Source organism: Homo sapiens, chromosome 17 (genome assembly GCF_000001405.40).
Source record: "Homo sapiens chromosome 17, GRCh38.p14 Primary Assembly".
NCBI lineage: Eukaryota > Metazoa > Chordata > Mammalia > Primates > Hominidae > Homo > Homo sapiens.
The window spans coordinates 44,868,040-44,893,923 of NC_000017.11; the positions used below are offsets into that span (position 1 = coordinate 44,868,040).

At 44.6% G+C, this 25,884-nt stretch overlaps 1 protein-coding gene and 1 pseudogene across 5 annotated transcripts in view, besides 1 other annotated feature; one reads left to right on the forward strand and one right to left on the reverse strand.

Annotated features, from left to right (window-relative positions):
* The window catches only part of EFTUD2 (elongation factor Tu GTP binding domain containing 2), a 49,498-nt gene that overhangs the window by 18,092 nt on the left and 5,522 nt on the right, over positions 1-25,884 (reverse strand). For 4 of the 5 annotated variants that reach the window (NM_001142605.2, NM_004247.4, NM_001258353.2 and 1 more), the window contains 10 exons: positions 18,546-18,711; positions 17,217-17,295; positions 15,610-15,685; positions 15,054-15,119; positions 13,648-13,683; positions 12,515-12,605; positions 11,517-11,599; positions 7,895-8,061; positions 4,407-4,531; positions 248-311 (listed from right to left, as the gene is read on the reverse strand). In NM_001142605.2, coding sequence (NP_001136077.1) covers positions 248-311; positions 4,407-4,531; positions 7,895-8,061; positions 11,517-11,599; positions 12,515-12,605; positions 13,648-13,683; positions 15,054-15,119; positions 15,610-15,685; positions 17,217-17,295; positions 18,546-18,711 — 953 coding nt within the window. The remainder of the gene's footprint in view (positions 1-247; positions 312-4,406; positions 4,532-7,894; positions 8,062-11,516; positions 11,600-12,514; positions 12,606-13,647; positions 13,684-15,053; positions 15,120-15,609; positions 15,686-17,216; positions 17,296-18,545; positions 18,712-25,884) is intronic. The other variant, NM_001258354.2, reaches the window with a different exon arrangement.
* Positions 15,947-16,235, forward strand: RN7SL405P (RNA, 7SL, cytoplasmic 405, pseudogene; annotated as a pseudogene).
* Positions 24,132-24,674: an enhancer, noted in NCBI's record as "OCT4-NANOG hESC enhancer chr17:42969539-42970081 (GRCh37/hg19 assembly coordinates)". NCBI's record gives its function as "activates a minimal SCP1, AML or CMV promoter by ChIP-STARR-seq in naive H9 embryonic stem cells {active_cell/tissue: H9 hESC(naive)}" and the evidence as "EXISTENCE:reporter gene assay evidence [ECO:0000049][PMID:30033119]".

Consider the following 25,884-nt stretch of genomic DNA (forward strand, 5'->3'; position numbering starts at 1 on the left):
CTGGAAGGATACATGGTTATGACCCTCCTGGATGCCTGAGCTGGGCTGTAAAGACTTCAGGAGAAACAGCTTCTCACCAGATCAGAGCTTAGGAAGCCAACCCATTTAGGGGAGGAAAGACGGTAGTTTACATTAAAAAAAAAAAAAAAAGTAGGTATTTAATCTTTGAACTCAGAGAATTTCACTGTCCTCACTTACTGGGTAAATGATCACCCCTCTGGAAAGTCACGTCCCATACTCTACTTACGTCTTAGGGTTGAAGTAGATGTCACCCCAGAGTCTTTTAGCAAATTCTTGGTAATTAATGTCACCTATGGGAGAAGCCACACAATTATAATCTACCTAGCAAAGTGTCGTTCAAAATTCTGTTTCAGGTGCCACAGGTGGTTCATAGCTGAGAACTTCTAGCACTTTCCTTTCCAGGGTCCAGGCAGTTCCTTCTAACCAGAGAGGAAAACGAGGACACTGAGGCACAAAGAAGGACAAGACTGGTCCAAAGTTGACAAGGCTGTGCTGGAGCCAAAATGAGAACCCAAGCCTCTCCATCTCCACCAAGCACTAGGATTGAACTATGGACAAGAGCATGGGTTACATGTTTTCCTTCGATGGAACAGGGTCACCTACTGTGTGGCATCCTCTATCTGCATCTAAACCCTGTCCCTTCTGGAAGGGGAATTTAATGGTTCTTTCACCCTTTCCTGATGTAGACAAGCTCGACTCTGCTGCCAGTGTGGGCCACCTTCCAACTGCAGTGTCACCATAAGGTTCTGGCTAGCCCTAGGCCTCAGGTAAGCAATTACTCAGCCCTCTCGAGAGAAAACACCAAAGCCAACCTTTGGCTCATCTTTCACCAATTAATATTTTTAGTTTGACTATAACTGCTAATCCTGGTCAGACTGTACCAAACAACCATAGCTTTTAAAAGTCAAGACGTTGGGTGACATCCAATTAGATAACTGATAGCACCAACCACCTCCTGGATATTTCTACCCAGATGTCAGACTGTCCCCTCACCTTGTATGGGATAAAGGGAATGCACTGGCTTTTCCCGAAAGTCACATTCCCCTTCAGACTTCTCTGTCTCCATCAGTAAGGTTACCACCAAATTTTCAGCTAAACTCAAAATCTTTTTCTTCCCTACTCTGTTAATTACCAAATTCTCCCCTTCTTTCCCACATTGTTAGTTACTGAAACTTTCCTTCCTCTGAACCACTGAATGTTTATGCCCTCTGTTAATGCACTTACCATGCAGTATAATCACTGAACTTTTTTTCTTTGAGATGGGGTCTTGCTTTGTCATCCACACTGGAGTGCAGTGGCATAACCTTGGCTCCCTGCAGCCTCGACCTTCCTGGCTCATGCAATCCCCCCACCTCTGCCTCCCGAGTAGCTGGGACTACAGGTGTGCGCCATCACGGCCAGCTAATTTTTAAAATTTTTTGTAGAGACGAGGTCTTGCCATGTTGCCTAGGCTGGTTTTGAACTCCTGGCCTCAAGTGATCCTCTACTTTGGCCTCCCCAAGTGCTCGGATTACAGGCATGAGCCACTGGACCTAGCCTGAACTTGAACTCTTCTCCTTGGTTAAACATTCCACTGTTACCTGAACAGGCCATGACTAACACCACCTGCCTCTATGCCTCTTTCTCCAGCCCTGCAAGTCTGGAATTCTTGGCTTTCTACTCTTTATTTGCCCAAGCCCCATCTCTTTCCCTCGGCTTTACCTGACTCCAAGCCATTGAGGCTGAGCCCTACCCCACCCCTAAATTCTCTCAGCTGTATCTGCCTACAGCACTCAGCTCACACTATCACCTCACATTGCCATTCATCACTCTGTGGGATTCTGTTCGTCCACTGGATGAAGTTTATAGAAGTCCGAAGTTGTTCATGATGCCTTATTGTATTATATTCCTAGCGAGAGCACATGGTATCAGTTTTGGTAGTAAGGTGTAAATGGATTCTAGTTCCTACTCTATTAGTAATTTCTGTGACCATGGGCATAGTTTCCCCTCATGTAAAATGAAGAGGACGACTCAATGATCTCTTCAATATTCCCTTCAGTGCTGACTTTACAGAAGTCTACACATGGCTTTCCATGATAACGCTGCTGCAGCCCAGCCCATAGCTAGCTCTGGCATAAACTAACAGTGGGTTCAAAGGATGAACAACAATCTCGCCCAAGGCTGAGGATCATTTTCAATCAAAATTGGAATCATCTCTGCATTATAATTACAAAAGGGTTTTGGATTTTGCTTCACATGCTCATACAATGGACATTTAGAAACACAAACTTCTACTGGAACCCTGTTCAGTTTAATTTCATTTATTGTTTAGCTACCCATTTTTAAAAAAGAGCCATCTGGAAATAACTGATATATACATCTAATAACAAGAAAATGGTCAATGGCCCAATGCTGTGTGAAAAACACAGATTACATATGTATACAGTTGACCCTTGAATAACATGGTTTGAATGTCTCGGTTCCAATTATACATGGATTTTTCTCCTGCCTCTGCCACCTGAGACACCAAGACCAATGCTTTCTCTTCCTTAGCCTGCTCAATGTGAAGATGACGAAGATGAAGACCTTTATGATGATCCACTTCCACTTAATGAACAGTAAATGTGTTTTTTCTCATGATTTTCTTTGTAACATCTTCTTTTCTCCAGCTTACTTTATTATGAGAACATAGTACACAGGCCAGGCACAGTGGCTCATGCCTGTAATCCCAGCACTTTGAGAGGCCGAGGTGGGCGGATCACGAGGTCAGGAGTTCGAGACCAGCCTGACCAACATGGTGAAACCCCATCTCTACTAAAAATACAAAAATTAGCTGGGCATGGTGGCATGTACCTGTAATCCCAGCTACTCAGGAGGCTGAGGCAGGAGAATCACTTAAACCCAGGAGGTGGAGGTTGCAGTGAGCCGAGATCGTGCCATTACACTCCAGCCTAGGCAACAGAGTGAGATTATGTCTCAAAAAAAAAAGAAAAAGAACCAAATTTTTCTTGTTTTTTGAGACAGGGTCTTGCTCTGTTGCCCGGGCTGGAGTGCAATGGTGCAATCACGGCTCACTGTAGCCTCAACCTCCCGGGCTCAAGTGATCCTCCCGAGCTCAGACTACAGGCCAGTGCCATCATGCCCACCTAATTTTTTGTATTTTTTTGTAGAGATGGGGTTTCGCCATGTTGCCCAGGCTGGTCTCAAACTACTGGGCTCAAGTGATCCGCCTGCCTCAGCTTCCCAAAGTCCTGGGATTACAGGCGTGAGCCACTGCACCTGGTCAAAAAAGACTGAACTTCAATTTTTTTTTTTTTTGAGATGGAGTCTTGCTCTGTCGCCCAGGCTGGAGTGCAGTGGCGTGATCTCAGCTCACTGCAAGCTCTGCCTCCTGGGTTCACGCCATTTTCCTGCCTCAGACTCCCAGTAGCTGGGACTACACGTGCCCGCCACCACGCCTGGCTAATTTTTTTGCATTTTTAGTAGAGACGGGATTTCACCGTGTTAGCCAGGATGGTCTTGATCTCCCGACCTCGTGATCTGCCTGCCTCAGCCTCCCAGAGTGCTGGGATTACAGGCGTGAGCCACCGCGCCTGGCCAAAAAAGACTGAACTTTAATCCCTCATTTTTTTTTCACAAGAGCAAAGGGCTCCATGCTAAGAGTGCGGCAGGACAACTGACTGGCAAGAATAGAAACGCTGATGCTCCACCGCCTACTGGTCATGAGACATCTCACGGAGCCTGTCTGCTCGACTCTAAGAACGGGGTAACAGTGACTTCCCTCTAAGGAACTGCAACATTGAACACAGAAAAGACTCTCAGTGCACGATTCCTATTGGAATCTGAGGTAACTGGGGAAGTGCAAAGATGAAGAGCCAGGGAGTCTCTCACAGTGGGAATCTGGTCTCAAGGATCTGGTGTTGAGGCTCCAGGAACCCATGATATCATGCGGCTGGGCATGTTAGCAGAGGCCTGTAGATGCTGGCTGCAAGGTCACCATGAGTTCTCAATTAGACCCATGAAATTGATGTCTGCCTCCATACGGCTGGCTAGAAGCACTAACAGTGAGGGAGATGCCACCTGTGAGAAGGTCTGAAAGTGCCTGTGGGCATGGATGATTCCTGTTTTACAAAACCTGTCTCACTCTAGGAGAGACTTTTATTCCTAAAATGACCTCCTTCTTCTCCCATGTCCTCCTATTCACTTTTATTTTTCTATTATTTAGAAACCACTTAGCCTGAAGAAAGGGTCTCAAGGCCACAAAGACCCCCAAATGTGATAATAACAGGTGATAAAATGTTCCCCCAGCAGGGTGCTGATACGAAGCCAATTTCTGAGTCATTCAGCAGGAAAGGCACACAGGACTCAGGGGAAGCTGGTGAGACAGACTGCCAGCCAGCGCTTACCAAAGGTGTCGGCATAGATCTTGGCAAAGGAGCCCAGCGTGAAGCAGATGCTGTACTGGGAGCTGGAGAAGCAGACGTTACCCAGGAGTGGGGAAAGGATCAGGTTCTCATCAGTGGAATACATGCTGAAACAGAGACAGTGGTGAACACAGTGCCAGGCTGCAGCAGCCCGGACGCACTGCCAAGGGGAAGGGCAGGAACTCGGTATCACAGCCACTCTCCAGCCCTCGGAAGGGACTTGTGCAAGACACTCAGTTTTGCCAACAGCCTGGTCCAAGAAAGTGACATGATGGAGCTGTTCCCCTAATTCCCAATAACAAGTTGATTTCCCAGAGCTGGGAACATTCTGCACAATCTTGGAAAAGTTAACTGCACCAGACAGACAAGGGGAAACCTACAGGACAGAGACAAAAACCTTAGAACACAGGAAATGAATCTAATGTGATAAGACAGAAATACATTTGACGAAAAACCTCAATTTCACAAATACAAGCAGACATAAACATCATTTAAAAAAGAGAAAAGAAAGGAAATGAAGAAAAGCAACTCTGCTCTTTACCCTCACTGCCATACTCTTTATTCTTTTGTGTTTGGCTTTTACAGTGTTAAAACTTTCAATCTTAAAAGCCATGCAGAAACCACGAGCATCTGAGTTCACTAACATTTATAAGAAAACGAGTTGTACAAGGGGATCAAATCCACAACCCTAGCCTTACTGGCACATTATCTTATGGAATGTCCCAATATAGAAATAAAGGTATGGCTTATAAAGAACAGCCCTCTACCCCATTGCACTCTACCCCCAAGTTATGCTCCCTAGAGGCAACTGCTTTCAACACTTTTAAAGCTGCTTTTAGAGTATTTACCTTCAGGTTTCTAAGTAATATGTTTATGTTACTTTTTCTTGCTTAGAGGTTCTTTTGCTTTTGAGACAGGGTCTTGCCTTGTTGCCCAGGCTGGAGCACAGTGGTACAATCACCATTCACTGTAGCCTCGATCTCTCAAGCTCACGCAATCCTCCCTCCTCAGCATCCCAAGTAGCTGGGACTGCAGGCATGAACCACCAAGCCTGGCTAATTTTTGTAGAGATGAGATACAAAAGCCATGTTGCCCAGGCTTGAACCTTGAACTCTTGGGCTCAAGCAATATCCTGCTTGGCCTCCCAAAGTGCTGGGATTCTAGGTATAAGCCACTGTGCCTGGCCTCTTGTTTAGAGGTTTGAAACATGACCTCTTGACTTCCTATTTTAGTAAATCAGGTTAAGTTCAGCTCTATCCCACTTCCTACTTTTTTTTTTTTTTTTTGAGATGGAGTCTTGCTCTGTTGCCCAGGCTGGAGTGCCGTGGTGCAATCTCAGCTCACTGCAAGCTCCGTCTCCCGGGTTCACGCCATTCTCCTGCCTCAGCCTCCTCAGTAGCTGGGATTACAGGCGCCCGCCACCAAGCCCGGCTAATTTTTTTTGTATTTTTTAGTAGAGATGGGGTTTCACCGTGTTAGCCAGGATGGTCTCGATCTCCTGACCTCATGATCCGCCCGCCTCGGCCTCCCAAAGTGCTGAGATTACAGGCGTGAGCCACCGTGCCCGGCCTCTTTTTTTTTTTTTTTTTTTTTTAAGAGACAGGATCTCACTCTGTCACCCACATTGGAGTACAACAGCACAATCATAGCTCACTATAACCCTGAACTCCTTGGCTCAAGTGATCCTCTTGCCTCTGCCTCCCGAGTAGCTAAGACTACAAACACATGCCAGCACGCCAAGCTAATTTCAAAATTATTTTTTGTAGACACAGAGTCTAGCTATGTTGCCCAGGCTGGCCTTGAACTCCTAGCCCCAAGGGATCCTCCTGCCTTGACCTCTCAAAGTGCTGGGATTACAGGCATAAGCTATCACGCTTGGCCTTCTTATTAAAATATATTTGTCATTTCATCCTTTGGACTCATGATGTCACACTGGGCTCTAGTCATTCTCAGTCCTTGCAGAGATGGGGTGAAGATATTCCTTTTGAAAAGTAGTGCTACACACTGGGAAGGCTCCTGAAGGTATCTGTCTCTAGCCACACAGGTTCCATCCCCAATCCTTAAATGGAGAGGCATTCTTTCAGTTGGAGAGGCATTCTTTCAGTAGGACGGCCTCCTCACAGGCCCATTTGAGGGGCTGCAGGAAGTCATCTAGCACATCTTTCAGCCTGTAGTAAGACTGTCTTTAAGATATATTTAACCTCTGTTTCAAAGGCCCTTTGATATTATATTCTAAGGTATCATAACCATCACTCATATGTATCAATGCAAGCCCTAAATCCATCTTGTTGAGAAGCAGGTATATCCACAGAAACACAGCAAACAGTTCTTAATTTATTTAGACTGTGTTAATTATAAGATAATAGCAGCTAACATTATTCAGCACATCAGCTGCTACATTGCAAGCACTGTGCTGTGTTCCATCAAATATCTATTTAATTTCTTATAACATCCCTTGTAAGTTATGTTAACTTATACTATAAATGCCTAATAATATTTGCTACTATTGCTGTTAGGCAAATATTATTCCTTTTTTACTGAAGCAGAAACTGAACTTAAGTAATCTGCCCAACTTTACATGGTTGGTATGTGGTGAAGAGGAGGCTGATTCTAGAGCCCAGGCTGGGTGCAGCGGCTCAAATCTGTAATGCTAGCACTTTGGAAGGCCAAGGTGGAAGAATTGCTTGAGGCCAGTTTAAGACCAGCCTGGGCAACATAGCAAGACTCCATCTCTACAAAAAAAATATAAATAAATAAAAAATAAAAATTAAAATTAAAAAAAATTGGCCGGGGGTGGTGGTTCACGCCTGTAATCCCAGCACTTTGGGAGGCCGAGGTGGGCGGATCACGAGCTCAGAAGGTCAAGACCAACCTGGCTAACACAGTGAAACCCTGTCTCTACTAAAAATACAAAAAATTAGCCGGGCGTGGTGACGGGTGCCTGTAGTCCCGGCTACTTGAGAGGCTGAGGCAGGAGAATGGCATGAACCCGGGAGGCGGAGCTTGCAGTGAGCCGAGATCATGCCACTGCACTCCAGCCTGGGCGACAGAGCGAGACTCCGTCTCAAAAAAAAATAAATTAATTAATTTAAAAAATATATAGCCAGGTATGGTGGCACATGCCTGTGGTCCCAGCTATCAGGAGACTGAGGTGGGAGGATTGCTTGAGCCCAGAAGTTCGAGGCTGCAGTGAGCTGTGATTGTGACACTGCACTCTAGCTTGGGTAACAGAGATCCTATCTCTAAAAAGAGAAGAAATTAATACAGCCCAAGTACTGATCATAATAGTAAAATGAAGATGTGTTAAAGTATGAAGTCAACCCCTGCAGAGTCCCAGGATGTGCCTCTAGTTTTGCCCAACAAACTCATCAACACACGCTTAGAAATAAATCACAGTTGTTCCCAGAGGTATTCAGGGTTAAAACCCAGAGCCTCCGAGGACAGGAAATCCACTCCCAGGGGTTTTCTACCTTATTAATCCATTGACCTCATCCACAATGTGGCGCAGCTTGTAATAAGCATCAGTTGGAGGCAGCTTCAGCTCCAGGATCAGCCGGTCAATCTTGTTGATGCACACAGTGACTGCCAGCCTCTCCTGCACCGCATGCTTGATCAGCCGCTCTGTGTTCAGCATCACCTGAGAAAAACAAGGCTCAGAAGGTGGTAAGAAGAACAAGGAGGGCAGAAAGTTCAAAGCAGAACCAAAGAAGGCACTATTTCAAACCATGAAGCCTGGGGAGAAAAAAAGACCTCGGGAAATATTACTGGGTGGAAGCAGAGAGCATCCTGCCCGAAGATAGACACAGGAACTTTAAGAGGGCACCTTGCAGGATTGAGAAATGAATAAACCCATGAACAATGATGTTGGGAGCCAGGTTTCTCAGTGCTAAAGAAGGAACTAAGAAGGCTGGGAAGAGCCAGTGGTGCTGAAATGGAATTGGGGGTATTAGGATTAATGCATGATTTTTAATATATGTGTGTAGAAATAGTTATAGATATGTATGAGTGTATATAACCTAGCTGTGCTCAGTGAGAGGGCCTAGAAGCAATGTACCCCAGTAGCAATGAGCACATCCAAACCTTTGTTTCTAAATACTAATCCCCACTGGCCGGGCACAGTGGCTCATGCCTGTAATTCCAGCACTTTGGGAGGCTGAGGTGGGCGAATCACGAGGTCAGGAGATCGAGACCATCCTGGCTAACACGGTGAAACCCTGTCTCGACTAAAAATACAAAAAGATGAGCTGGGCGTGGTGGCAGGCACCTGTAGTCCCAGCTACTTGGGAGGCTGAGGCAGGAGAATGGCGTGAACCCGGGAGGCAGAGCTTGCAGTGAGCCAAGATCGCACCACTGCACTCCAGCCTGCTGGGCGACAGAGTGAGACTCCGTCTCAAAAAAAAAAAAAAAAAAAAAAAAAACTACTCCCCACTATGAGCCAGAGCTGCTAGGCTAGGTGCAGTCACTCACACCTGTAATCCCAGCATTTTGGGGAGGCCAAGGCAGGAGGATTGCTTGAAGCCAGAAGTTCAAGACCATCCCCGGCAACAGAGCGAGACCCCATCTCTCAAAAAAATATTTAAAAATAAGCTGGGCATGTTGGCACATACCTGTAGTCCCAGCTATTTGGGAGGCTGAAGTGAGTGAATCACTTGAGCCCAGGAGCTCGAGGCTGCTGTGAGGTATAATTGTACCATTGCACTCCAGCCTGGGCCAGAGGGCAAGATGCCATCTCTTTGAAGGAAAAAAAAAAAGCCAGAGCTCCTTGAAGAAATGGCTGAGTCCAGGATTGGGACAAGGAAAGATAACGTCTAGAACATCTTTTTGTGCTTGAAAGTAAGGAAGTGCTCAAAAAACGATGAGGCGTGAAAAAGATGATGGAATCAGCCTGAAGGAGCTCTCAGTAGCCAAATCTGGGACAAGAGCACTAGAGCACCGGAATCCATAAGGACAGTAACAGATTATAACTCACTGAATAAAATGCAAACCCAAATATCCACAGTGATAATAAGCAAATGGGGGAGAAACAAAAGCACTTCTTTACAACATAATTCCAACCAATAGGCCAGGCGCAGTGGCTCATGCCTGTAATCCCAGCACTTTGGGAGGCCGAGGCAGGTGGACTACTTGAGGTCAGGAGTTCAAGACCAGCCTGACCGACATGGTGAAACCCCATTTCTACAAAAAATTCAAAAATTAGCCAGGTGTGGTGGCAGGCGCCTGTAGTCCCAGCTGCCTGGGAGGCTGAGGCAGGAGAATCACTTGAACCTGGGAGGCAGAGGTTGCAGTGAGCCAAGATTGCGCCACTGCACTCCAGCCTGGGCGGAAGAGCAAGACTCCATCTCAAAAAAACAAAACAACAACAACAACAACAACAACAAACAACAATGGCTGGAAGCGGTGGCTCACGCCTGTAATCTCCACACTTTGGGAGGCCTAGGTGGGCAGATCACTTGAGGTCAGGAGTTCGAGACCAGCCTGGCCAACATGGTGAATGAAACCCTGTCTCTACTAAAAATACAAAAATTATCCAGGTGTGGTGGCGTGCACCTGTAATCTCAGCTATTTGGGAGGCTGAGACAGGAGAATTGCTTGAACCCAAAAGGCAGAGGTTGCAGTAAACTGAGATCGCACCACTTCACTCCAGCCTGGGCAACAGAGCAAGACTCCATCTCAAAACCAAAACAAAACAGAAGGAATAAGAAGAGTTAGAAGACTCACTATTTGCAACTATTGTAGGAACAAGCCAAGAATCATCAATAGATGACAAAACTAGTAGATAAAGTTTGATAAGGAGAAGAATAACCAGATTCTAATAACCAGAGCTTAATCACGAGGAAGTATTAGACAAACCCAAATTGAAAGACATTCTACAAAATAAGTGCCCTGTACTCTTCAAAAGTGTCAATGTCATAAAAGACCAAGAGAGGCTAAAGAACAGCTTCAATTCAGAGAGACTTGAAAATCATGAAAACTAAATGTTATGCATCACTCTGGATTAGGGGAAAAAATTCTATAACGGAAATTGTTGGTATGATTAATAAAACTGAATAAGGTCTGCAAAAAAAGATCTGTACAACAGGACTGTATCAATGTCAAATTTTCTGATTTTGGCAACTGTACTGTGGTTACATAGGTGAATGTCCTTATTCTTAGAAAATACATTCTGAAATATTTTACTTTCAAACAGTTCAAGGGGAAAATGTACACACCTGTCTCTCTGTGTGTGTCTGAACGTGTACAGAGAGAGAATTACGAAGTAAATGAGGGTGGGTTCTTTGAACAATTCTTGAAGCTTTTCAGTTTGCTGCTATTCCAAAATGAAAAGTCAGTTTAAAAAAAGACAATTCTGGCTCCCTCTGCTGGCTGTCTCACCAATGATAACACGAATAAGGTTAGCCAAAGTGTTCCATCTCTCAATTGAGGAATACAGAAGACACCCTGGTATTTTAACTCCAATCTCTTGGAAAAACACAACTAATATTAAAAATCCACTTACAAGAACATACACTCCTCCCTTCCTTTTATTTACATTTGTCATTTTATCTTTGTGTTTTCTGAATAGCAATGAGTCTTATCATTTTGAGCTTCACTGAGCAGGAAGCAAGGGCACCCACATTGATAATTTTTTTCTTCGTTTTTTGAGAGAATGTCTCACTCTAGCACCCAGGCTGGAGTGAAGTGGCGCAATCTCGGCTCACTGCAACCTCCAACTCCCAGGCTCAAGTGATTCTCCTGTTTCAGCCTAATGAGTAGCTGGGATTACAGGCATGGGTCACCACACCTGGCTAATTTTTGTATTTTTGGTAGAGACGGGGTTTCGCCACGTTGGCCAGGCTGGTCTCGAACTCCTGACCTCAGGTGATCCACCCACCTCAGCCTCCCAAAGTGCTGGGATTACAGGTGTGAGCAACCACACCCGGTAAGAATTAATTTTGAAACATTTGCTGCTTTAATTTTAGAGCAAATTTGAGCCTTAATCCCAGAGAGTTTCAAGTTCTCTGGCTCCCAGCTCACTCAGTGCTCTGGGTATTGTTGCGGGGTGGGGGCAAACATAACAGGTGGATGAGATTCTGGGAGCTGAGTCTGACTCACCCCCTCAGCAGCATCAATGAAAAGGACCACTCCATCTGAGATGCGCAAGCCAGCTGTGACCTCATCAGAGAAATTCACATGTCCTGAAAAGCAAATACTAAGTAAGTCATCACTTGGTGCAGGATAAAGCACAATTAACTGGTAGGGTGAACTGAGGGGGCACTTCAAAGCCCGTGAACCTCCGAATATCCCCTTTCCTCCTCGCCATAACCCCCCACAGGGTAAAAATATCCCCCATTAGTGTCATATCCTTGCATTAAGCTTTCCTACGGGAGGCTCCCTACATAAAAAGAGGGACTCCTGGGACTCATGCCCAGGAGAGCATGAGTCCACACACACAGACCAGCTTAGCCTAATCAGCAGTAAGTAGAGTTCTGTGGGATTCAAGACAATCTGGAGGCAGGAGAAAGGGCAAAGCAGGGCCTGGAGCACAGTGTGCTGCTCGAGGAAGGCAGTTCCTGGCAAGGTGCTATGGGGGCAGGGGCTGAGAGGTATCAGGACACTGGGCATCAGATGGTGCCAAGAAAGCAAATCAGCCAAAACCTAAAACCTTCCAGTTTTTAAAAACTCTGCCCCAGTTGGTCCTTTCCATAGGAGGAAGAGTCAGCCAAGGTGCGCTGCTCCCAAGGTCATCAGGATGTTCACCAGTCTCCTTCAAAAGACTGAGAGTACTCAAGGCCAGGGACTGGCTCTGACTCACCTTTAGCTCCCCAGCAGATAGCATGGGGCCTGACAGGCTGAAATGAATAAATGAATACAATTCCCTAACATTTTTAAATATTCGAAAGAGTAAAGACATGAATAGAAGGCCTGGAGTATGATGCTTGCTAAATTAACAAGTCAGAAACAAAGGAGAGAGTCAAAATGGAAAATGGTTTCAATGAAGGTGAGGGAATGTAAAAACAAAGATGCACTGCTCCGTTCTGCTCCGAAAAGTGAGAGGACACACGCAAAACCAAGACAAGGTTCTAATAATCAAAAGCCAAAGGATGTCCTACCTGGAGTGTCCATGATATTGAAGAGATAAGATTTTCCTTTGGTGTCTGGCAAGACCACTGTCACAGGAGTGCTTTTGATGCCTACACCTCTCTGAAAGGAACAAAGAGTGGTCAAGACCTCTTCCTATGCAAGAGGGGTTCATTTTGTTTTTGGGGCTCCCCAGTTGCTAGTAAATTACACTGATGCCTCTCCTTATAGTGGGTGATTTTTATCTAGGCCTCTAGCCAGCATGACCTTGAAGATAAAATATCTTGGTGTTAGACACCATTTTTGGGGGACTTGTTTCAAATGTGAAAAGATGAAAATGAATTACTGCAAACAAAACAGTATTAAGCCTTATCAGAGAATCCAGGGTCCTAGAATCTCATCCTCTTTATACATTAGAAACAAAAACAATAGCTGAGCACCTTGAAAGTAAAAAGAAACAATCTGGGGTATTTTAGTTTTTTTTTAAAAAAGAAATATAAAAGCTATGACAGAAATAAACATTTTTTTTAAAACTCCAAACAAATACATAAATACATTATAAAATAATAACAGCTAACATTGATTGCCTATCTATCTTTACTAATTCCAAGTGCCTTTAGTTAACCATACTTATTATACTTAAAACTTCCATTAGGAAAAAGAGACAGAAATAAGAGGAGGGAAACAGAAGGGGTCAGAGATTAGAGAGAAAGATCCGGAAGGAAAGACAAAAAGAGAAACACAAAGATATAGGAACCCATTTTCAAAGAGAAGCTACTCCTAGAAAGAGGTCATCATATGGATGGACTCATCCTGCGGATTTTTAAAGGATGATGTCATTTTAAAAAAATCATGTTGAGCTTCTGCGTAACTTATAGCACAAATGCAGACATCGCCTCTTAGTACTTCTCCTATATTAGGCCAAATTTAATCTAGTCAAGAACAGGAGGGTTCCCCTCCTAACCTACAGCTTGCCTACCCAGTTCTTTTTCAAGTTATAACCCTGGAGTAACTGGGGGAAGAAGGAGATGGGATGTGAGAAGTGGAGAGAGAGGAGTAGGATATGAACTAAAATGCTATCATAAAGGCTCCTCTACATTCCCTACAAAACTATTACTGGTGGGTCTGGTGTAGGTGACAATCAGATTCCCCAAGGCATGCTTACCTCTTGCTCTGTGAAGAGGATGTCAGTATAGCACAGCTGAAAAAAAATTAACTGTTGTTACCACCTGAGTTGAGACTGCTCTCCCACAAACGAACCATCAATCACTTTCCCTCACTACCTCCCAGCTCAAGGGTTTCTTTGAGATTAAAGAGAGAGAGAGAGCAGGGTGTCCCCACAGCAATTACAGACAATGAGACCAGTGCCCTCCCAGCTGGAAATGCTCCTGGGTGTGTGGAGGGATTTTTTTATTTTTACTTTTTTGGAGACAGAGTTTTGCTCTTGTAGCCCAGGCTGGAGTGCAATGGCGCGATCTCAGCTTACTGCAACCTCCTTTGCCTCCAGGGTTTAAGAGATTCTCCTGCCTCAGCCTCCCAAGTAGCAGGGATTGCAGACGTGCGCCACCATGCTCAGCTAATTTTGTATTTTCGGTAGACACAGGGTTTCATCATGTTGGTCAGGCTGGTCTCGAACTCCTGACCTCATGTGATCCCCCCGGCTCAGCCTCCCAAAGTGCTGGGATTACAGGCGTGAGCCACCACACATGGCTGGGTTTTTCTTTTTGGTTGTGATTTTGTCTTTTTTTGAGATGGAGTCTCACTCAGTCGCCCAGACTAGAGTGTGGTGGCATAATCTTGGCTCACTGCAACCTCTACCACCCAGGTTCAAGCGATTCTCCTGCCTCAGCCCCTTGAGTAGCTGGGACTACAGGTGTGCACCACCGTGCCCACCCAGCTACATTTTGCATTTTTAGTAGAGATAGAGTTTCGCCATGTTGGCCAGGCTGGTCTCAAACTCCTGACCTCAAGTGATGCTCCTGTCCTGGCCTCCCAAAGTACTGGGATTATAGGCATGAGCCACCACTCTTTTTGAGTTGGGGGAGGTCACTAAAGACCAGGTATAGCTGAGAGATAATTTATATCAAATGCACAGAATTCTTAGTGTGGTAAAGGGAGACACATGTCAGCCTTAATGCTAAAGTGTTAAAACAATCAATCTGGCAGGGTTTGAACATTTATTGCACTGAGACTTGCAGACACAGTTGGCCTCATTCACAGGCATTTAAATTTACCATGAAAACCAGGTACAATTGTACCATATTTATAGAGCAGGCTATTAATACTATAACAGGAAAGAATAGACTATAAAAGTCAGGATATATCATAACAGAGGAGGGATCCCAAGTGCAAAATGGATCATCCAAAAATACTGCAGCTCAATATTCTCTATGCTCCCGAGAAAGTTGAAATTATTTTCTTACAGCCTATTAATAGAGATCACAATTATAAAGCTGCACTTTGGAGGCGTCATTATTTATAGAGAACAGGAAGGGTGAAGGAAGGAGGAGAGAGACATCTCTATCTGTTCTGAATGGTTCATCCTAAACCCTCAACAGAAGTTCTACTTACATCTTGGTCATAGCGCTTTCTGATTTCCGGGTGAGTCTGTTCAATTAAACAATCCACAAAACATGTCTAAAAGGGAAGAAACAGTTAACATCTGCCGACCACAGAGGAAAATTTACTGTGCCCTTCCCCCAGCTCCCAATACACCACATAATTTAGGGATAAGGAGAGAAAAAGGAGAGCAAGGAGGGTTATGGGACAGCAAATAATTAACACTGAAGCCACAGGATTATTTTCAAATAAAAGATGAAATCTTTCTTAGACAGGCATCCCTCAGGAAATGAAAACTTATAAAAATCAGAGTAAGGCTCAATTTCCCATCTTCTGTCCAGATGTAGACATAAGGCTCAGGCATGCAAGTGGCTTAGGAACAGGCTCCACCTGCTGCTTGGGAAAAGCCAGAATTTCACAGTATGACTTCGTAACAGGCATGCAGCACCCCTAGTCAGGAGGTTGAGCCTTGTGACCTCAAACCTCAACCGCTGTGACTCTAAGGGCTAAAACATGAGCAGGTACAAAAGAGAAATCCTGTTCCAAGTAGCTGAAAGTTCCGTCTTACCTTGCCATGGTGGAGATGTCCACAAAGGGTCACATTTCTGATGAGCTCTGAGTTATCCATCAGATCCGCCAAGAAACTGAAAGGACAAAGGAAAAGAGAAAAGAGAGATTGGCAAACGTTTCCAAATGAGGAGTGGTGTAAAGGTGTTTCAGGTATTTTTTGGCCAGGAACAACTTTCAGACCAACTGGAGAGTGCTCAGGCAGATGTGAATGTCTATACTTACATAGCTCTGGCTTTGGGAATGCAAGAAACTTATCCAAGAGGTAACACAATCTGTGAATGGACTATCACGGGGATTTCAATAGTAAAACAGCAAGACTAAAAAAGGAAGAAGAGGCTGGGCATGGTGGCTCATGCCTGTGATCCCAGCACTTTGGGAGGCCGAGGTGGGTGGATTACCTGAGGTCAGGAGTTCAAGACCAGCCTGGCCAACATGGTAAAACCCTGTCTCTACTAAAAATACAAAAATTAGGCCGGGAGCAGAGGCTCACGCCTGTAATCCCAACACTTTGGGAGGCCGAGGCCACCACGACCAGCTAATTTTTGCATTTTCAGCAGAGACGGGGTTTCACCATGTTGGTCAGGCAGGTCTCGAACTCCTGACCTCAGGTGATCCACCTGCCCTGGCCTCCCAAAGTGCTGGCATTACAAGCGTGAGCCACCACACCCAGCCAGGACTTCCAACATGGTGAAACCCCATCTCTACTAACAATATAAAAATTAGCTGAACGTGGTGACATGCGCCTGTAATCCCAGCTACTCAGGAGGCTGAGGCGGGAGAATCACTTGAACCTGGAAGGTGGAGGTTGTAGAGAGCTGAGATCATGCCACTGCACTCCAGCCTGGGCAACAGAGTGAGACCCCGCATCGAAAAAAAAAAAAAGAGAGAGAGAGAGCACCTAAATGATCCTACACATATATCTACCTCCTTTTGCTCTCCTTTTCAAAATAAAGAGTTGAGGGCCGGGCATGGTAGCTCACGCCTGTAATCTCAGCACTTTGGGAAACTAAGGCAGGAGAATCATTTGAGCCCAGGAGTTTGAGACCAGCTTGGGCAACATAGTGAAACAGTACAAAAAACACAAAAATTAGCCAGGCGTGGTGGTGTGTTCCTGTAGTTCCAGCTGCTCAGGAGGCTGAGGCAGACACATCTATTGAGCCTGGGAGGTCAAGGCTGCAATGAGCCATGATTGTGCCACTGCACTACAGCCTGAGCAACAAAACGAGACCTTGTCTCAAAATAACAACAACAAAAACAAAATAAAGAGCTAATATATTCCTAAAATACTCAGCAGTCTTATTGAGTCCAAACAGGCTCTGGTGGATCCAACAGTGATAACTGCAATACCCAGATCTCTCTTGAAGGCTGGCTTTCAACATCAAACTAAAGATCTGGAAGAGGAAACAGCTAACATTTGGATGAACACCAAGAGAAAAGTTAAGATTGACCCCAAATATCCCAGCAGCCACACAAGCTGAAGGAGAATTTGAGAGCTATGTACGGCCACAATTTACTAGCTATTTCAGCCAAAAGCCACCTCTTATCTCTACAAAAACATGAACCCACAGCATTCCTGCAGAGAAGCTGAGAAACCTTGTAACTTACTCCATCTCATACACCGTAACAGGTAATGTCTGCTCCATCAGAGTGAATTTCTTGGTTTTCACTGGCTTAATAATGGGTTCTAGAAGAAAAAAAAAAGGTAGTGATGTGTAGGTGGGCATAAAACATAAAAATACGGAACACTATTCCATTAGACTGACCTTTCAGAATGTATGATGTATGACATCAATTTATTTTACTCTCAAGGATCACTCATATGTTGAGAAAGTTTTGGAAATGCTGTTTGGCATGAGACAGTGAAGGACCTTGAATTGTGGAAAGAGGAGTCTGGGCTTCATTTTGAGGGACAGTGGGAGGGAGGGAGGGGGAATGGATGTAGGTTGAGGTCAATGTCAGTTCAGGATCTTTCCTTGCATTTATAAGATGCAATCACTTTCCAAAAGATCAATGAAAACTTTTTTTTTTGGGAGACAGGGTTTCACTGTTACCCAGGCTGAAGCGTACAAATGGCGTGATCAAGTGATCCTCCTGCCTCAGTCTCCCGAGTTGCCAGGAGGCATCTACCACCATGCCCAGCTAATTTTTGTACTTTTTTTGTAGAGATGGGGTTTCACCATGTTGCCCAGGTTGGTCTCGAACTGCTGGGTTCAAGCGATCCTCCTGCTCTGGCCTCCCAAAGTACTGGGATTACAGGCATGAGCCACCGCTTCCAGCCTATGAAAACTATTAAATGGACAATAAGGCTGGTTGCAGTGGCTCACGCCTGTAATCCCAGCTCTTTGGGAGGACAGGGCAGAGAGATCACTTGAGGTCAGGAGTTCAAGACCAGCCAGGCCAACATGGTGAAACCCCGTTTCTACTAAAAATACAAAAATTAGCCAGGCATGGTGGCAGACACCTATAATCCCAGCTACTAGGGAGGCTGAAGCAGAATTGCTTGAATCAGGGAGGCGGAGGTTGCAGTGAGCCAAGATTGTGCCACCGTAATCCAGCATGGGCGACAGAGCAAGACTTCGTCTCAAAAAAAGAAAAAGAAATGGACAATACATATTATGAGAACTGGTTAAAAGGGTTGGAGTTATTTGGATGGAAAAACATATCAGGCCACAGGGTAAATAAACTTAACGACAGTCTTCATGCACCTAAACTGATAGCAGATAAATAAGAAATAACTCTTATTTGCTTAGAAACTAGTTAAGAACTTTACTGAATATTAAAAAAGGATTAACTAAATCTTAAACCAGAAACAGTACCTGAAGGTAGTAAAGAAAAACTGATCAATTCATTCACTGAACTTTTAAGGTTTGCTGAGAGCTATGAAGTTTCCAGGTTTCAATTTCACTCCGCACAGCCCATGTCCTCCTGATGTACCTGTGAGAGGCTGAGTGTCTTCCTCTTGAACTATGGTCTCCACCTCAGGACCATACACCTCCTCGGCTGTTGGGTAGTACTTCTTGTCCTCATGCAGCACCACCTCCATCCCAGGGTGGTCATCGTCATGATCTCCTACGTCATCGTCGTCGTCATCATCATCCATCTGAAAGCAAGAGGGAGAGGGAGAATCGAAGAGGCACACGCTTTTCCTGTTTGATATCTGACTACCTCCGTGAGTGACAGCACTGACTGTACATGCTGGCCAGCTTCTTATTCTGAGTTCTATGCCAGTGGGGGAGGTTCCACTCCTTTGAGACCCTTCACAAAGAGAAGACTCTAAGCCGAGGCCATGGACAGTGCTCCTGGTTCAAACTTGCCCCTTTCTGAATGTGGGCCACTGGTCACAAGTGGGTTGAGACTGGAGAAAACAAATCACAGCACAGCCCTTTACGGGGAAAAAAGCAACTTTCTCCAAAGGCAGAAACCAAAAGCCAGAGGTAAAAACTGAAGATAAGCCCATACCTTTAAAATTTTCACTTATATCCACAGAATTGTTTTTGGAAAATAACTTTGTGATAGATAATAACAGGTGCTGGCAAGGATGTGGAGAAACTGAAACCTCCCACACTGCTGATGGGAAAAAGGTGCAGCTGCTTTGGAAAATATTTTGGTAGTTCCTCAAAATGTTCAACACAGAGTTACATATGACCCAGCAAGTCCACTCCTAAGTATATACCCAAGACAAATGAAAACTTATGGCCACACAAAAACTTAGAAATCAATGTTCATAGTGGCATTATTTATAATAGCCAAAAAGTGGGAACAACCAAATGTCGATCAACTGATGACTGGATAAATGAAATGTGGTACATCCATACAAAAGATTATTTGGCAACAAAAACAAACAAAATACCTATACTTGCTATAGGTATATACATGCTACAGCGTAGATAAGCCTTGAAAACATGATGCTGAGTAAAGAGGCCAGACTGAAAAAGCTGCATATTATATGATTCCATTTATATGAAAATATTCAGAATAGGCGAATCTATATAGACAGAAAGCAGATTGCCCAGGGCTGGCAGGGTAGGTGTGGGTGGGAGGACAATGGGTAAGGGGTGTGGAGTTTTTTTCTGAGATAATGGAAATGTTCTAAAATTGATTGTGATGACAGTTGCATGACTCTGTGAATACTCTAAAAGCCATTAAATTGTACACTTTACAATTAAATAACTTCAAATCTGCCTCCTTACAAATTAACCCATAGTCATATGCAACATTAACGAAGCCATTCTCACTTCTGCTAAAAAGTCTTCCAAATAATCTAAGGTGGCCACCAGATCACCCTTTAAGTCCTAAAACACTTACTGAGCACTTAATATGTGCTAAGCACTGTTCCAGGTGTTAGTAATAAAGCAATCAAGGAAAAAGAGGTGCTACTGAAGCAAAAAATCTGCAGACAGAGAATAAGCTCTACAGGTACCTGGGGAAGAGCATTCTAGTCGGCTGGTGAAACAGCGAATGCAAAGGCCCAGAGCCAAGAGCATGTGGCAACTTTGAGGTTTAGCAAGGAAGCCAATATGGTGAGAATGGAGCGAAGGATGGGGGAACAGGAAGCTGCGATCACATGGGAGGCAAACAGACAGGATCTTCTGGACCGCTCTAAGAATTTGGACTTTACTTTTACTCTAGAGCAAAAGTAGGCGGGGAGGTGCCATTAGCATCCAGTGGGTAGAGGCCATGGATGCTGCTAAACATCCTACAACACACAGAGTCCTCACAGAAAGAATTATCTGGCCCCAATGTCAACAGTGCTGAGATGAAGAAACTCTGCACCAGGGGTTTGGAGCAGAGAAGTGATATGATCAGACTTCTGTTTTAAAAGAACCACTCCAGCCCCTATGCTGAGAATACACTAGAAGCAAGAAGATTAGTTAGGGGGCTACTGCAGTGATTCAGGAAAGAAATAACAGTGGTGGTGGCTTGGAGTAGACAGAGTGGGAACTGGGAAGGTGGTGAGAAGAGGCTGAATTCTGGATACATTACAAAGGTAGAGTCAAAACTGTTTTCTAATGAATTGAAAGGAGGTGTGAGAAAAAAGAGAAGCAGTAAGGTTTTTGATCTGAGCACCGGAAAACAGCCTTGCCTTTATTGAGATGAGGAAGAAAGACTGTAAGAGCAGGTTGGGGGAGCAGGGCGGGGAAAGCTCAGTACTTAGGTGTGAGTTAACGCCAGGCTTGAGATTCCCTGTTAGACATTAAGTAGAGATGCCATGTAGGAAGGTGGACATACAAACATGCCATTCAAGGGAAAAGTCCAGATTGGAGATACAAATCTGAGTCGTCATAAAGTTATTTGATAGACTGGATGAGATCCCCAGAGGAGTGAGTGTAGACAGAGAAGACGTCTGAGGAATGGAGCCCCGGGCCTGCTGACATTTGGAGGTCAGGGAGATAATGAGGAAGCAGCAGCAAAGGCTGAGAAGGGATGGTCAGTGCGGAGGAAAACCAGGGGTTCTCTGAAAGCCAAAGGAAGAGAGTATTTTAAAGAGGAGGGAATGATCGGCTGGGACAGACGGATGCAGGCAGGTCATGTGGGCTGAGGACTGGGAACTGACCTTGGGATTTCGCAAGGCAGAGGTCAGTGGTGACCTTGACAAGAGCAGTCTGTGGAATGCGAGAGGCAAAAGGATGGAAGTGGGTTTGAAGGAAAATGGGAGGAGAGGATCTGGAGACAGCAACCATGACCACCTAATTCGGGATGTGCTGCATTGGAAAGCAGGGAAAATCTGGAGGTAAATGAAGGGGGATATGGGGTCAAGAGAGAGTTTTAGGATGAAATGACATTTTATCTGTGTATGCTGATGGGGATGATCCTGTAGACAGGGAAAACTGATGGCACAGGAGAGAGAGGGCAGAATTGCCAAAGGTCTTGAGTGGTGAGAAGGGATGGGATTAGTTTCTAGTAGACAGAAACATGAACAAATCATTCGTAAGAACGGAAGGGAAGGCATCGTATATGAGTACAGATGTAGGCAGGTGGGTAGAGGGACTGCTGGGTGCTTGTTTTCCTTCACACAAATTCCAGCATGCCAACCTCTTCCTTAAGAACACAAAACCCTCCAGTGGTGAGACCGGCTACCTCCTACCATCTTACACTCTACTTCTACTAAAGTGGCCTAAGATTACATTAGCTCTTTTGGCAGCCACATATATCCTACTGGTGGTGGCTCCAAATAGCTATCAAGCCAGTTTTCTCCTGCCCCATACTGCTGAATATATTATGAATCTAACTGCAGGATTTTATATAATAATTTCTGACTGCCTGTAATTATCTCTATCCGAGTCTACAGTAGCTCAACAAGTCTAAACAAATAAAACTAAACAAATATTCTTTTATCATTGCTTTTTCTAATTTTTAATTTTTTTATTTTTTTGAGATGGAGTTTCACTCTTGTTTGCCGGGGCTGGAGTGCAGTGGCGCGATCTCAGCTCACTGCAACCTCTGCCTCCTGGGTTCAAGAGATTCTCCTGCCTTAGCCTCTGGGCATGCCACCCAGGCGCATGCCACCACGCCCAGCTAATTTTTGTATTTTTGTATTTTTGTATTTTTAATAGAGACAGGGTTTCATCACGTTGGCCAGACTGGTCTCGAACTCTTGACCTCAGGTCATCTGCCCACCTCAGCCTCCCAAAGTGCTGGGATTACAGGCATGAGCCAACGCACCCAGCCTTAGAAGGGACATCTTTCTTTCCTGTCCCCATTACCAAAATCTATGCATCTCTACTGTTATATACCTCAATATAATTAAAAAAAAAAATCTGTCCAGGTGCGGTGGCTCACACCTGTAATCCCAGCACTTTGAGAGGCTGAGGCGGGCAGATCACCTAAGGTTGGGAGTTCGAGACCAGTCTGACCAACACGGAGAAACCCCATCTCTACTAAAAATACAAAACTAGCCGGGCGTGGACGCACATGCCTGTAATCCCAGCTACTCGGGAGGCTGAGGCAGGAGAATCGCTTGAACCCGGGAGGTGGAGGTTACAGTGAGCCGAGATCATGCCATTGCACTCCAGCCTGGGCAACAAGAGCGAAACTCCATCTCAAAAAATAACAATAATAATAAATCTATGCATCTTGTGGACTAGGAGGCTATAACCCTCATTCTGCTGGAAAGAGGGTAGACCAGTACAGCCATTTTAAAGGGCAATCTGACAGTACTTAGTATAAACATATTAACTAAGTATAAATACAATAAGCATATGTAGATAGAGATATAATATCCTACAACCAGCAACTCTGCTCTTGGGAATATAACCCAAAGAAATTTTTCCACATTGCATAAAGGGACACATATGAGAATGTACACTGGATTATTAATTACGGCGAGGGAAGGCTGGTGACAGGTAACCTTGGTGTCTATCACTAAGAGAGGAATGTCACCAGGGCAAACCGAGTAGCAGTCAGTTCCCACAGACTAGATGTACACACAGCAACAGGGAGAAACCCTAAAATGCACCACTCATCATGATGCTGAGTGGGAAAAGAAACAGAACAATGCAGACAATGATACCATTTACTTAAAATACACACACACTATGCAACTCATAGAAAAAGAAACATACATAAATTACAAAGAACTGTGGTGGCAGGTATGGGAATGAGATAAATGGGAATTAACAAATTAATTAAATAACAGCAGAGCTCTCACAGCAATGACACTGAGGAGTAAGAACTAAAGAGTATGAGTGACTCAACTGTTTGTACTGAGGTAAAAACCTTCATAGGGTCTCACTCTGTTGCCCACGCTAGAGTGCAGTGGCATGACCATAGCTCACCACTACCTCAAATTCCTGGGCTCAAGCCATCCTCCTGCCTCAGTCTCCTGAGTAGCTGTGACTACTGGCATGTACCACCATGCTTGGCTAATTTTTAAATTTTTTGTAGAAATGGGGTCTCACTACATTGCCCAAGCTGGTCTCAAACTCCTCGGTTCAAGTGATCCTCCTGCCTTGACCTTCCAAAGTGCTGGGGTTATAGGTGTGAGCCACTAAGTGTTTAGCCCATTATTCTTTATTTTAAAAATTTTTTTGTTAATAGCTTTATAGAGATATAATTCACATTCCATACAATCTATCCATTTTAAGTGCATAATAGTTTTTAGTATATTCACAGAATTGTGCAACCATCACCACGATCAATTTTAGATCATTTTCATCACCCTAAAAAGAAACTCTGTTACTTACCAATTCCACCTGCCCTCACTCCCAACAAAAAAATCCTGCCTCAGCCTCCCGAGTAGCTGGGATTACAGGCGCGCACCAGCACACCCAACTAATTTTTTGTATTTTTAGTAGAGACGGTTTCACACCACGTTGGCCAGGCTGGTCTCGAACTCCTGACCTCAAGTGATCTGCCCGCTTCAGCCTCCCAAAGTGCTGGGATTACATGTGTGAGCCACCACGCCTGGCCTATTACTGGGTTTTTAGTCCCAAATTCATGTATGTTGGGATCACTTTGAATTTAGATTCTGTTATCCAATACATTAGTTTTATGTCATGTGCAAATTAGATAAACCTCTGTTCTCTATCTTTACCCAAGTCACTAATAGGCTGAATGACGGGGCACAATGGTTCCCCTATGTAATCTCAGCATTTTGGGAGGCCAAGGCAGGCAGATTGCTTGAGCCCAGGAGTTCAACACCAGCCTGAGCAACATAGTGAAACCTTGTCTCTATTTAAATATATTTTAAGTTGAAAAGGACAAGACCAAACACAGATGCCTAGGACATGTCACAAGAGCTCTGCTGGTGACCCATTAATCAAAAATCTTTGTGTCCCACTGTTCAACCAGCTGTGACCTCCTCTAATTGTATTATGATGCAGCCCATGTTCTTTTCACTAGGACATCATGAGTTACAGAGGTTAACTGGGGAAGAAGAGTGAATGGAATGAGAACAAAGGAAACCTTTCTATCAACATGGTTTGAATGAGAATGTATTCATGAATTACCTATATAATTAAAGAAAAACACACTGTAAAACCTTTTTTTTTTTTTTTTTTTTTTTTGAGATGGAGTCTCGCTGTGTCACCCAGGCTGGAGAGCAGTGGCTCGATCTCAGCTCACTGCAACGTCTACCTCCCGGGTTCAAGCAATTCTCCTGCCTCAGCCTCCTGAGTAGCTGGGATTACAGGCATGTACCACCACACCCAGCTAATTTTTGTATTTTAGTAGAGACGGGGTTTCACCATGTTGGCCAGGCTGGTCTCAAACTCCTGGGCTCAAGCGCCTCAGCCTCCCAAAATGCTGGAATTACAGGCGTAAGCCACCACACCTGACTGTAAACCTTATTTTCAAAAAGAAAAAAAAATGCTGGTTTATAAGACATCAATAAAAAACTTCAAATGTCTTGCCCAAATCAAGATACATCATGTCCACAGCATGCCCCTGACCTGTGGCTCAACCTAGTAATCCTATCAAGAGAAAATTATTTTTATAAAACTCATGCTAGCTTCCTAAGTACTCAACAGTCATTTTTTTTTTTTTTTGTTTGAGACCGAGTCTCACTCTTGTTGCCCAGGCTGGAGTACAGTGGCACAATCTTGGCTCACTGCAACCTCCGCCTCCCGTGTTCAAGTGATTTTCCTGCCTCGGCCTTCCAAGCAGCTGGGACTACAGGCACGCGCCAACAAGCCTGGCTAATATTTGTATTTTTAGTAGAGACGGGGTTTCACCGTATTGGTCAGGTTAGTCTTGAACTCCTGACCGTGTGATCTGACCACCTTGGCCTCCCAAGGTGCTGGGATTACAGGCATGAGCCACCACGCCCGGGCCCTTTCTATTGCTTTTATGCATCTCTGAAAATCTGAGCTTGTGAGGGAGCTCCCAGTGCAGCTGTAGCTGGAAGAGTTGAGTATCTTTTCCAAGTGGGAATTATTCATGACTGTTAAAAGACACTTCAGGGAAATGGAAGAACTAATGATCAACTAGAGCTCAGATTACAAAACCATCTCATCAATGAAACTACATATTCCCTTTTGGAACCTTAGTAGCGAAGCTTTGCTGGAGCAGTATGAGATCCCACTAAGTCATGTTATAAAAAGGACAATCTCAAGAGACGTACCCAGGGTATCACTGGAACACAGAGGATTCAAAATTTCATTGTTTTTTAAAAAAAGGTGGGGGGGGGGGTGGGGGGGCAGGCATGGTGGCTCATGCCTATAATCCCAGCTCTTTGGGAGGCCAAGGCAGGTGGATTGCTTGAAGTCAGGACTTCAAGACCAGCCTGGACAACATAGTGAAACCCTGTCTCTACTAAAAATACAAAAAACATTAG